This window comes from Homo sapiens, chromosome 2 (genome assembly GCF_000001405.40).
Source record: "Homo sapiens chromosome 2, GRCh38.p14 Primary Assembly".
Classification (NCBI taxonomy): Eukaryota; Metazoa; Chordata; class Mammalia; order Primates; family Hominidae; genus Homo; species Homo sapiens.
Genome location: NC_000002.12, coordinates 66,656,406 through 66,671,026, shown reverse-complemented (window position 1 = coordinate 66,671,026; position 14,621 = coordinate 66,656,406). Strand labels below are relative to the sequence as shown.

General features: G+C 39.4%; 1 long non-coding RNA gene across 1 annotated transcript in view; it reads right to left on the bottom strand.

Annotated features, from left to right (window-relative positions):
* The window catches only part of LINC01798 (long intergenic non-protein coding RNA 1798), a 121,559-nt gene that overhangs the window by 24,562 nt on the left and 82,376 nt on the right, over positions 1 to 14,621 (bottom strand). Inside the window, exon 2 of the long non-coding RNA NR_110156.1 lies at positions 5,210 to 5,306. This is a non-coding gene — a long non-coding RNA (long intergenic non-protein coding RNA 1798). The remainder of the gene's footprint in view (positions 1 to 5,209; positions 5,307 to 14,621) is intronic.

Genomic DNA, 14,621 nt, shown 5'->3' with positions numbered 1-14,621 from the left:
GAAGGTGAAAAGCCACATTTGCATCACTCAAGAGTTTTCCCATCATGTCTACCAACCCCTTGAAGATAGCTTCGAGAAATGAAGAAGTCGTGTCATCTGCATTTCTGTTGTTACTAAAAATGAAGAAGAGTTAATTAATGGGACTGGGCAAAAAGTAGAGCAAGCTCATTTGCTGAGATTACAATCAGTAAGGTACTAAAGTTCCTGTTGGGGTTCCCGAATTGAAGGGACATGAGGGAGGTCACCTAGGTGCTGGAAATGTTCAGATTTTTTTTTTCTTTTTTTAATCTGGAGGCTGGTTATGCAGGGACATTCAATTGGTGAAAACTCACTAAGCTTATCATTTGTGCACTTTTCTTTCTATAGCTTGCCTCCAAGAAGGTACTCAAAACTAAAAATAATAAAGGAAGGTCCTAATTCTCCCACCAAGTGAAGCACCGTCTGGGAGTATGAGGCAAAATGTTTCTCCAAGAAGACCTTGGATTTATTACAGACAATTGTGTAGACAGCTCTAGGGTTTTTGTTTTTGTTTTTTGTGAAACAATTAAAGATCTCTGCACATGCTAAATTGATACTCTAGAGTTGGAGTTGCAACCCAATTTAGCCAGGCTGACATGGACATGTATTTAGTTTGACCATCTGTTAGTGATGGGAGCAGTGCAGCACTTTGAAGCTATGTTTTAAGCCCAGAATTTTCTTATGAGAGGCTAGAATAACCCTAAACTTTATAGAAAGTATGTGTAGCTACCAGGACATGTGTGTGTATGTGGAAGGCCCTGTGGACCGGAACAGGTAAGCAGTCCTTACAACACCACCAGTCTACATTCTACTTTCTATAATAAGAAGTGATCCTGGCCAGTGCAGTGTGGTACACCTGTAGTCCCAGCTACTCTAGAAGCTGAGGTAGGAGGATTGCTTAAGCCCAAGAGATCAAGGCTGCAGTGAACTATTATCATGTCACTCCAGACTGGTTGACAGAGTGAGGCAGTCTCTAAAAACTATAAATATAAGGAGGCCGAGGCAGGCAGATCACGAGAACAGGAGACCGAGATCATCCTGGCTAACACGGTGAAACCCCATCTCTACTAAAAATACAAAAAGAAATTAGCCAGCGTGGTGGTGGGCACCTGTAGTCCCAGCTACTCGGGAGGCTGAGGCAGGAGAATGGCGTGAACCCGGGAGGCGGAGCTTGCAGTGAGCCGAGGTCGTACCACTGCACTCCAGCCTGGGTGACAGAGCGAGATTCTATCTCAAAAAAAGAAATAGTAATTATATATATATATAGCTGGAGGAAAAAACTTCTAGCTAATTTTAAAATTCAATAGCAATCACCAATGGACAAGATATTTTTGTTTTTGTTTCAAAATATATTGCATTGTTCATAAGCCTTTTTATGATTTATTATGGAAGAGGATAATATTGTTTTGCTTCTTTAAAAACCAAGTTACTATCTTCTGCAAAGTGAACATAAAAGGTCATAGTTCCCCTCTTCTATTTTCTGCAATAGCTTTTGCACTGCTAATGAAAGTACAAAGACATAAAATAAAGTACATAAGATCCATGCAAACTGTAATTCATGAAATGCAGTTTCTCAATATTTCCTTTAAATTCAACTCTAAAGCAATTATAGTCACTTTACAAGACCTTAGACATGTGTAATTATAGATGAGAAGTGCACTTGCAACACTGAATTCAACCACATTTTCTTAAACTTGATCTCCAAATGTCCATGGCAGTAATAAAACAATTACATTTTCCCTAGTGAATATTCATTTTTCTTTCCATTTTTAATTACAACACATTTTGCTTTCAGGAGAATAAGGAAAAGTCTAAATTAGAAGAAAATTCAATTATTTGAAACATAATTCATTCTAAACATAATGCTGAAAAACATTTTATGCAGGAAAGATCATGTTTTTTTTTCTTTTTGAGTGGAGTTGGAACAAATCCTCTAGATTTGGAACTCTAATCCTACAGTTTATATGGAAACAGAATAAAACACTCAACTCTTCAATGAGACTGAGGTTTCTAAAAATATGAATAGGTAATAGCATATTCCATGTGCCTACCAATTTAAATACAGTAAAATGGGGTACTGATTGAAACATTTTGGAAAAAAAAATGACCACTATCATGGGTTACATACTTTATAAGAGAGATCCTTGAAGAATACTTTGGCATAAGACATAACCAACACTGTATCACTGTGCTTTCAATCACTGTGGCTCAAAGCTCCTTTGTTTTCATTTTTATTCCCCACAAAATTATGTATAAATGCATAACAACCAAATGCAAGGTGAAATTTTTTATTGCATTCTCATTTTTAAAAGATAAGTTTAAAATACATTTTGGAGACTATTGAGGACACTGGAATACAGACTTTATATTAGATTATGTTGTTGAATTGTTAATTTTCTTAGGTGTATGATAATGATATTTTGGTAATATAGAAGAATGTCCTGATTCTTAGATGATTCATGCTAAAGTATTTAGGAGTGAAGTGTCATGATGTCTGTAATTTACTTTAAAATTGTGTGTCTGTGTGTGTGTACACGTGAAAGAGAGAGTACACACATGTGACAAAATATTAACAACTGATTAATCCAAGCGAAGAGTACACAGCTGTTCATGTTACTATGTTTTCTGCTTTTCTATAGGTTTGAAGATTTCCAAAATAAAAAGTTGGAAGGAACTTGTATAAATGCATGGAAAAGCTATTCCTCTGAACAACAGTGAGTTCATGCAGTTTTTTACTCTTTTTTCCATTACAATGTAAATTTTGGTATGTGCTTTTCTGATGCTCTAATAAAATACTTCTGGAAGAATGGCAGGTCAGCAGGCCCTGTTTTAAGTTTATTAACTGATAACCTACTTTGAATGACAAAAGAAAATGGAACCTATGTCTGTTTTAAAGCAATGATTGTCAGCTCCCATGGTCAATATGTCATGCAGGGTACACTTCATTAGGGATTGAATTACTTTACTTGTAATTTGAGCTAAATGAACCTCAATGTCAAGTTGCATAAATCACAGGTTAAAATGTACCACTAAGTCCAATCAGATAGGGGACATCACCCTTTGCCCTCCAAAAACATCCCAAATTGGGGTTTATTTCATACAAGTTTTCCAAGTGGCAGATAGAAAATCTCCCTTGTACCACAGAGAAGCAATTTTCCTGCCCCTGAAAAGACTTCATGGATTAGATGTCCTGTTTATGTGTCTTATTGCCACATTTTCAATGCTAGTAAAATCTAAAATTAAAACTTTACTGTGACTGAGGATTCAGTAGCCAGGATAGCAAAGCTTTCAGCTTGATACCCCGTGTAATGATGAGAGAAACAACCAAAAGTTCCCTGAAAAGGATTCATACTGGAAAGCATATTACTTTGGCAAAACCCTTCTAATGTCTTACACTGTATAGAAAAGGCAAATCCCTTTTAAAGGAGGCCACTTTACATAAAGCACATCTATTGTAATGCATTTTTCCTCACTCAAGCCAATGAAACACATCTCTGTTCTGGTTGCTCTAAACGAGGCATGTGGATTCAGCAGCTGCAGGGATCTAACCAGGTCTGGACTGACCACGTTGATGGTTTGAACAGGAAGGAAGTTTGGTTCAATGGAAAGAGAACAGACTCCAAGATATGATAAGAAATGGGTTTTTACCCTAATGCTGCCACTGGCTGTCTATACAAGTCTGAGCAAGTCGCGTAATATTTCTCAGCCCCAGTTTCTTCATCTATGAAATAGGTATGCTAATACCAACCTCTCTGTATTGTTGCCATGGTTAACAGTAACGTATGAAAAAAACACCATGTCAGGGCTTGACACATACCAAGTGCCCAAAAAAAGGAGAACAATTATAAATTGTATAAAAGCAGTAAATTTTATTTTTCAAAAATATGAATGGTTTTTGATTGAGCAGATCACTCTGGTCTTGGTCTCAGTAGATAATTAATGTACATTGGATGACTAGTTCAGTGCATATATTAGTGAATTTGAAGTACGCAGTAAAGCATATTATGCACAACACACAGTAAGGTAGAAATCTGGCTTATTATGTCATCTCATCACTTCGAACAGCTCAAGAAAGGCCCAAATGTTCCAAGCGGGAAGAATGGCAAGTAATGGTCAAATACCTACTTCCTCTCATTCCATAAACCTACCTTTAAGTGAGTGCTCCCAATCTTTGGTTGAAGAGGAATAGCTATGCTACATTTCCCAGGAGTTCAGACTGCAGCAGGGACCCAACAGTGGCTTTCAGAGATGGGGATCAATCTGACAGTGTAATGCCTAAGACAGAAGTCCCATAGAGGGCAACTGTTGCACCCAGAATACTTCTAGAGGCACTTGCTTGGAGATTTACTAGGTAAGGCTTTTTACATTGCCCAGGCTGATATAAACTCCTGGGCTCAAGCAATCCTCCCACTATCAGGAAGTGATTTCCTGAGTAGCTGGGACTACAGACATGGACCTGCACATCTGGCCCTTTTTTTTTTAAATCTGTGGACCTAATCTCCTTGTAAAGTCCCATCATCTCACTATCTTCACTATCAAACTACTTTTCCTGAAGGAAAATGCCAGGAAGAGTAAAACAAGTTGAATTTTCTAGAATAGCATTACCAATATGGTTTTGTTTTTTGTTGGATTGTTCCCTAATATCTGTAAATACGTGAGAATAATATTTTTGAAATGTGATCTTTGCTATTCTGGCAAAGGGGTTTAATTGGATGGAAAGGACCTAGCCCATGGCTGGACACATGGTAGGTTCTCACTAGATAAGCTGGGCAGGTAAACAGGCTGCAGACCTTCCTTCAGCTTTGAAAGGTAAGGGACAATAGTCATTATCATCCAACAATTTGAAGAGCTATCTAAACAGCATCCTTTGGAAAAGCACTCTTGCCATGCAAATTTACATTTTCAATCTTAACCTAAACAATCCTGAAGTTAGCTGGAAGGTCAGACCAGCAGCTAATAAAATCACCAACTGAATTTAAAATTAAAAAAAAAAAGTCCTTCCCCTGCATAGGACATTTTTAGCTTTCCCTCTCCTTTGGTCGCAGCCTGAATAAGATTTTCTTTAGATTTTTCAAAAGTAAAAGTTGGAGTTAAATAATATGTGAGCATTGGAGGCAGAGATCTGCTAGATGTGTTTCTTAAACAGTTCTTTATATGGGCAAATACAGCAGCTTGATTAAGAGATGCATACCTTGATCATCTGTCATTCTCAAGTCTTTAAGCCCTGAGGGGTCATTTGTGCCAGATCGGGAAAGAAGTATGCCCCAAGAGACTGAGGACAGCACTACCTGGTAATCAAAAAAGAGAAATGAACATGGCATTGAAGAGACTTAAAGAGGCAGGCACAGAACTCATTTGTTTATCCCCTAATATAAATTTCCTCACAGATCTTGTTCATTTCTGCTATCCTTCTCCCTAGCTGAAAAGGAAATTGCATCATTTCTCTTCCTCTGCCTTTGCATCTCTATTCTCGTAGGGTGCTCCTTGCATCCTCAAGCGTGCTGGATGTCAGCATTGCCCACATCTCTAGACCAGGCCAGCATGGTCCCCAGAATGGATTTCATAGGTTTCATTAGACAAGGGCTCTTCTCACAGGATCTGAGCTACAGGATCTTGAGAATCCAGAAAGGAATGCAAGCCCTGGACTGAGGTCTGAGAGGTTTGATCTCAGCTCCAGAAGGCCCTGACCCATGTCCAGCTTGCAGCATCCCATACCAGACTCAGACAAAGTGAAATGACTCAGCAAACCCCATTTATCCAATCTGGTACAGATGCTCCTAACGGATTTATGTCCATTGTACTTTGCTGCATTTCCTTTTTGCAAGCTGGCTAGAATTCATCATGGTTTTTTCTCTACTTCTCATTTTGTATTCTACATTTTGTAAAGTGACATTTTTTCTACCTGCACCTGTCCTGATACCTACTCCACAGCAATAGACATAGCAGCCTCAATAAATATTTCATAAATGAATACAGGAATTACAGAATTCTATGAGAAAAGGGGTTACACCAGCATTTATCTAAAATCCTGTGTCCTATATCATTAATTAAGTGGACATAATACCATGTATCTGTCTCAGAGTGTCAAACTACCTTCTAATAACAATTCATTGACATTTAAAAGTTGTAAAATCAGAGAACACGGAGAACACCCACTTCCACACCAATCTCATTTTTTGCCAAAATCTTGAGTTTGGCAGCTGGTGAAAATGAATGAATATTAAACCTTTGGAAGTTTAATGATTTAGACAATATAAACCAACAATGATCTTATTTTATTAATTTTTATTCATGTATTGTAAAATATTTTTGAATATATAAAAATATCTGAATAACAATATACCAAATACATTTGGGTCATGGCCTAGTGTAGAAAATTAAACATTACAAGCATAGTTGTGTACTCCTTCCAAGTGCATCTCTCTCCAACCCGCCAACCAAAGGAAACCCTGATTCTGAATTTGGAGGATATTAATCTGAAGCATATTTTTATAGCTTTACATATATGTAACTATCCCTAGACAATGTACAGAATCATTTTGCATATTTTAAAATTTTGCATGAATGGCATCATATCATACATATGTAATTTAGTTTTTGTTTTACTCTGTACTTTTAAAGATATATCCATTTTGATACATGTTACTCTAGTTTACACATTTTTCACCATCACATATTATTCCATTATGTAAATATGCCATATGATATTCACCCATTGAGAGCCTGAGTTTCAAGAGAGGAGAAAGAATGACAGGGAAGAAAAGAACAGTCAGATAAAACTAACCCTTCCATTTACACACGTCACGGCTCCAAGCCATGGCTTGGTTGCCCTGATACTTTTCTCCTTGCTGCTAAAGAATACTGTGTGAATAAGTGGCTAAGCAGAATTGTTAAACAAATTAACAACAGTGTAAGACAAGTGGTGACAGCCATGTGCCACTGACTACTCCCATGCTTCTCCCTGGTAGTAATGGCTTTCTTCACTGCACTAGGGATGCAAAGGAATACCTGCAAGAGGCCATATATCAGCTAACTGAACATCATGCCAAGTCACCCTTCAGAATGCAATTTCAGTTTCTCTGGGAAAATCATTTATTTTATCATTTCTTTAAAACTGTATATTTGGAGTTATGCATCCCAGAAACACCTGTAGAGTGTGCTTATTTCATGTCATAATCACCTCTCTGGAGAATCCAGGCTTGTGCTATTCAGTAATTGATCAAAAATTGTTCAGTTGCCTCTCAAAGACAAGCCCCAAGATGAGCAGTTTTCCTTCCCCTCTGTCCTCAGCTACCCAGCTCTGTCTGTCTTGACATTCAAATCAGTATGTGTGAGGACACGAAAAGAACAATCCCCAAAAAAAGGGGCCTGGGAACCTCGCCTACTCCAGTGGCATCTCTCCTACCTGGTGCACTATAAAAACTAACACCTGCATGCCAGATACATGCAGCCGAGGATGTGGGACTGCTGCTGCATCTTGCAGTTCTTAGAGGGAATTGGGCAAAGGAGCTCCTTGGCTGATGGAATGTCTGAGGAGCTGGAGTAGCAGTGATAGGAACAGTTGTGTGGGTCTGGCCCCAGATGTGGGAGTCTGAAATTGATAGCAAGAGGGTTAGTGCAAGGTCAAGCAAGGTTAGTGGCCAAAATGCTATCAAGTGTAGGTCTGCTGTTGACACACAGAAGAAAGAAGAAATCCACTGACACTATTAATGATGAGTCCCTAAATAAGGAGAGAGATATGACAGGAAATCCACAGTGAGTACTCAACACAGATCATTATGCCCTTTAGTTCTACACTTCTCTTTCAGTCATTATATTCTAATTCATATTTTGAGAAAAGGCTCTTCTTCCTGCAAAGCCCCTTTAAAATGCAAGCAAATCTGTGCAATGGAATACTACACAACAATAAAAAGGCACAATATACTGTTACACAAAACATCATGAATGAACCTCAAAATTATCATACTGATACAAAGAAGAGAGAAACACACACACACACACACACACACACACACACACACACACATATATATATATATATATATATATATATATATATATATATATATATATATACACTCTATGTTTCCATTTACATGAAGTCTGAGAACAGGCACTACTAATCTTTAGTTATAGTTGTTAGAAAGCAGTTATATGTGAGTGGGGGGTGGCAGTTGACAGGAAAGTGGAAGGATGGAAGTTTCTGAATGATAGAAATGTCTTGTATATTGTTTTGTGTGGTGGTTACACGTGAAACTGTGACTGTCAATATTCATCAAATGGACCTTTAAGATCTGTGCATTTTATTATAGGTGATTTATAGATAACTTCTAATGCACTTTTTTTAAAGGTTACATAAAAATAAATATATAAGTGAAATTACGCCAAAGATGGGTTTGGCTAGGAAAATCTTTCCATAGAAAGCATGGATTCAGAGAGAGCGCAAGTTGGCTGACTAGATGCAGCCAACTGGAACAGCTGCCACAGAGGGACCAAGACAACTCCTAACAGATCTTCAGAGGGAAGGCCCTGAGGATGGACAGAGGGAAGACACAGAAGCTGGGCTGAAGGGAGAGGAAGCTGGGAACCCTGCACAGGGCTACTGCACACCAGGACTTATTCGTGGCTCCCAATAACTCCTGGCAAGGAGCAAATGGCTCTCACCACAGGGCTCTGGAATCACTGCAGGAGGAGACCCCTCGACCGCCACCTGAGTTGGCAGGGAGAGCTGCTTACAGAAGTGGTAGGGGCAGCAATGAGGTGGAACTCAGATGGTTTGGTGCCAGTGCATCTGTAGCAAAGCACAGCCAGAGACGGCCATCCCCCTAGGTTCAAGTAGCTCCCATAGGAGACTTTAGCCCTAGGAGAACTGTCGGACCTGAACTTTGCAGATTGGTCTTACCCATCAGACCAGCCTGGTCTGATTTGGGCACTCCTTGTTCTCCTGGCCTCTCCTGAGGCCCCAGCCTGGCCCAGCCTGCTTGCAAGGCAGCCTCAGGTGCCCTGAGAACCCACATCATAGCTCCTGTACTGGCAACCATGCCTGACCAGTGGAGTGCTCCAGCAGGGTGGCCCCCATGGCCATGCATCAGCTCAACCACTCCCCACACAGCAGCTTCCCCTGTGCCCACAGCAACCACCCACATTATTTTGCTGGACGTGTCTGCACAGGCACGTGTTGTCTTCCTTACCCCACCAGTGCCGCGTGTGCATACACCCTGCCCTGCCCTGCCCCTGCTACAGTGAGAGTGCAGCCCATCCCACTTCCCCACACTGACTGCCGTTGCAGTTAGAGCCCTGACAGGCACAGAGCCAGCAAGCCCCAACCCCACCAGTGCCCTGCTCTTGCACCAACACTGCTGCGAGAGTGAAACTAGGTACAGAAAACAGCAAACCCTTCCCTGCCCTGAGCGACCACCCCTGCCTGTGGTGCAGAGAACACACACAGACCTATGCCTGCCAGTGCTCCACCCCGTGCCAACACCACCATCAGCACAACTGTGTACACAGTTGCCAGCAGGAGCCCCTGGTCCCCTTGAGTTATGTTGCCTCCACTACTGTGGTGAACACCCGCACAGAGGCAGGCACCCTGGCACCCACTAGCACCCTGCTGCAGCTGAGGAGGGTGCACCCCACCTCACTGCCACTGCAGCTGCTGCTGGCATATGTGACCTAGGACAGATCCCACTGTCACCACACTATGAAACTCTGGATGACACTACTTATTAGAGTGTAATGACCAGTGGTCTGGGACCACCTCAGCACCCCCACCACAGTGGATTCCTAACCTCGAGGAGCCAAAGAACAAAGTTGGAGCCTGAGTGTTTCCAGTAAGAACACTCAGGAGCCTGGAGCCTGAGTGTTTCCAGTAAGAACACTCAGGAGCCTGATACAAGTCCCCCAGATTTAGAGCACACAGTTTAGAGGTTGGGAGCTGAGCACTGGCCCCCTAAAATCTTCCAGAAATTAAGCCAGTCAGCTGAATTTACCTTACACCATAATCAAACTCACAAGGTCATCAAATAAGATAAAAGAAGAAAAAACCCCATTCAAAGGTCAGCAACTTCAAAAACTGAGGGAATGTCAGCCCACAAAGATGAGAGGGAACCAATGCAATGCAAAAACCCTGACAACTCAAAAATCCAGAGTGCCTCCTTTCCTCCAAATGACCACACCACATCACCAGCAAGGGTTCTGAACCAGGCTAAGATGGGTGAAATGACAGAAATATGATTCAGAATATGAATAGGAACAAAGATCATTGAGATGCAGGAGTACATTGAAACCCAATCCAAGGAAGCTAAGGATCACAATAAACTAATGCAGGAGCTGACAGACAAAATAGCCAGTATAGAAAAGAACATAACCAACCTGACAGAGCTGAAAAACACACTAAGTGATTTCATAATGGAGTCACAAGTATTAATAGCAGAATAGACTAAGTGGAAGAAAAAGTCTCAGAGCTTGAAGACTGGCTTTCTGAAATGAGCAGTCAGACAAGAATAGAGAAAAGAGAATACAAAGGAATGAACAAAATCTCTGAGAAATATGGGATTATGTAAAGAGACCAAATCTATGACTCATTGGTATCCCTGAAAGAAATGGGGAGAGTATAAGCAACTTGGAAAACATATTTCAGGATATCATCCATGAGCACTTCCCCAGCCTAGCTAGAGAGGTCAATATTCAAATTCAGGAAATGCAGAGAACCCATGTAAGATACTTCACAAGATCATCCTCAAGACACATTATCATCAGATTCTTCGAGGTCAAAATGCAAGAAAAAATGTTAAAGGCAGCTAGAGAGAAAGGTAAGGTCACCTACAAAGGGAATCATCAGACCAACAGCAGACCTCCCAGCTGAAACCTTATAAGCCAGAAGAAATTGGGAGCCTATAGTCAACATTCTTAAAGAAAACAAATTCCAACACAGAATTTCATATCTAGCCAAACTAAGCTTTATATTCAAAGGAGAAATAAGATCCTTTTCAGACAAGCAAATGCTGAGAGAATTCATTACCATTAGACCTGCCTTACAAGGTCTCCTGAAAGAAGCACTAAATGTGGAAAGGAAAGGTCATTACCAGTTACTACAAAAACACACTTAAGTACACAGACCAATGACACTGTAAAGCAAACACATAAATAAGTCTGCAAAATAACCAGCTAACATGATGCCAGGACCAAATCTACACATATCAATACTCACCTTGAATATAAGTGGGCTAAATGCCTTAATTAAAAAGTGCAAAATGGCAAGGTAGATAAAGAACTAAGACCCATTGGTATGCTGTCTTTAAGAGACACACCTCACGTGCAATGACACATATAAGTTCAAAATTAAGGAAAGAAGAAAAATCTAAGCAAATAGAAAACAGAAAAAAAGCAAGTGTTGCAATCATAACTTCACACAAAACAGACTTTAAACAAACAAATATCAAAAAAGACAAAGAAGGGCATTACATAATGGTAAAGGGTCAGATTGTACAAGAAGACCTAACTATCCTAAGTATGTATACAACCAACACAGGAGCACCCAGATTCATAAAGCAAGTTTTTTGAGACCTTCAAAAAGACTTAGAGTCCCACACAATAATAGTGGGATACTTCAACACTCCACTGACAGTACTAGATAAATCATCAAGATAAAAAATTAACAAAGATATTCAGGACCTGAACTCAGCACTGGATCAAATGGACCTGCTAGACATCTATAGAACTCTCCACCTAAAAACAACAGAAGATACATTCTTCCCATTGCCACATGGCACATACTGTAAAATCAATCACATAAACACAAAACACTGCTCAGCAAATGCAAAAGAACTGAAATCATAACAAGCACTCTCTCAGACCACAGCACAATCAAATTAGAAATCAAGACTAAGAAATTTGCTCAAAATCATACAACTATATGAAAATTGAGTATCCTGCTCCTGAATAACTTTTGGATACATAATGAAATTAAGGCAGAAATCAAGAAGTTATTTTGAAAGTAGTAAGAACAAAGATACAGCATACTAGAATCTCTGGGACACAGCTAAGGCAGTGTTAAGAGGAAAACTTATAGCACCAAATGCCTACATCAAAGAGTTAGAAAGATCTCAATTTAACAACATAACATCACAACTAAAAGAACTAGAGAACCAAGAGAAAACCAACCCCAAAGCTAGCAGAAGACAAGAAATAACCAAAATCAGAGCTGAACTGAAAGAGGTTGAGACAGGAAGAAACATTAAAAATATCAGTGAATCCAGAAGTTGGCTTTTTGAAAAAATGAAATAAAATGATAAACCACTAGCTAGACAACAAAGGAGAAAAGAGAGAAGATCAAAATAAACACAGTTAGAAATGACAAAGGAGATAATACCACTGACCCCACAGAAATACAAATAACCATCAGAGAATATTATGAACACCACTATGCACACAAACTAGAAAATCTAGAAGAAATTGACAAATTCCTGAGCACATACACCCTCCCAAGACTGAGCCAGGAAAAAGTGAATCCATTAACAGACCAATAACAAGCTCTGAAATGGAATCAGTAATAAATAGCCTACCAACTAAAAAAGCCCAGGACCAGATGGATTTACAGCTGAATACTATCAGATGTACAAAGAAGAGCTGGTACCTTTCCTACTGAAACTATTCCAAAATTTGAGAAGGAGGGACTCCTCCCTAACTCATTATATGAGGCCAGCATCATCCTGATGCTGAAACCTGGAAGACACAACAGAAAAAGAAAACATCAAGCCAATATCCTTGATGAACATCAATGCAAAAATCCCTCAACAACATACTGACAGATTGAATCCAGCAGCACATCAAAAAGTTTATCCACTACAATCAAGTTGGCCTTATCCCTACTTGAGAGAATGCAAGGTTGGTTCAACATACGCAAATCAATATATATGCTTTATCACATAAATAGAACTAAAGACAAAACCACAAATGCAGAAAAGTCTTCGGATAAAATTCAACACCGCTTTCATTAAAAATTATCAACAAACTAGGTGTTGAAGGAACATACCTCAAAGTAATAAGAGCAATCTATGACAAACCCACAGTCAGCATCATACTTTACAGGCAAAAGCTGGAAACATTCCCCTTGAAAACTGGCACAAGACAAGGATGCTCTCTCTCACCACTGCTATTCAACATTTGTATTGAAAGTCCTGGCAGGGGCAATCAGGCAACAGAAAGAAATAAAGGTATCCAAATAGGAAAAGAGGAAGTCACTCTTTGCAGATGACATGATTCTATATTGAGAAAACCCCATAGTCTCTGACCAAAAGCTCCTTAAGCTGATAAACAACTTCAGCAATCTCAGGATACAAAAGCAATGTGTAAAATCACTAGTATTCCTATACACCAACAACAACCAAGCTGCAAGCCAAATCAGGAATGCAATCCCATTCACAATTGCCACAAAAAGAATAAAATACCTAGGAATACAGTTAACCAGGAAAGTGAAAGATCTCTACAGAGAGAATTAAAAAACACTGTTCAAAGAAATCAGAGATGACACAAACAAATGGAAAAACATACCATGCTCATGGATAGGAAGAATCTATATTAATAAAAAGACCATACTGCCCAGAGCAATTTATAGATTCAATGCTATTCCTATTAAACTACCAATGACATTCTTCACAGAACTAGAAAAAAACTACTTTAAAATTAATATGGAACCAAAAAAGAGCCTGAATAGCTAACGTTATCCTAAGCAAAAAAAAAAAAAAAAAACCTGGAGGCATCACGTTACCTGACTTCAAACTCTACTATAGGGCTACAGTAACCCAAACAGCATGGTACTGGTACAAGAACCGACACCTAGACCAACGGAACAGAATAGAGAGCGCTTATGAGAAAGGCCACACACCTACAATTATATGATCTTCAACAAAGCTGACAAAAACAAGCAATGGGGAAAGGATTCCCTATTCAATAAATGGTTCTGGGATAACTGGCTAGCCACATGCAGAATACCAAAACTGGACCCCTTCCTTATACCACATACAAAAATAAACTCAATATGGATTAAAGAATTAAATGTAAAACCCAAAACTATAAAAATCCTGGAAGACAACCTAGGCAATAACATACTGGACACAGGAACAAGCAAAGATTTCATGATGAAGATGCCAAAAACAATTGCAAGCAAAAACTGACGAATGGGATCTAGCTAAACAACAGAGCTTCTGCATACACAATGAAAGAAACCATCAACAGAATAAATAAACAACCTACAGAATAGGGAAAACATTTGCAAATAATGCATATGACAAAGGTCTTCCCTTTTCTGCAAGAGGCTAATCCATGAGCATGTTAAGTTTTTCCATTTGTTTGTGTCATCTCTGACTTCTTTGAACAGTGTTTTTTAATTCTCCCTGTAGAGATCTTTCACTTTCCTGGTTAGCTGTATTCCTAGGTATTTTATTCTTTTTGTGGCAATTGTGAATGGGATTGCATTCCTGATTTGGCTTGCAGCTTGGTTGTTGTCGGTGTATAGGAATACTAGTGATTTTATACATTGCTTTTGTATCCTGAGATTGCTGAAGTTGTTTATCAGCTTAAGGAGCTTTTCAGCATTGGGTTTT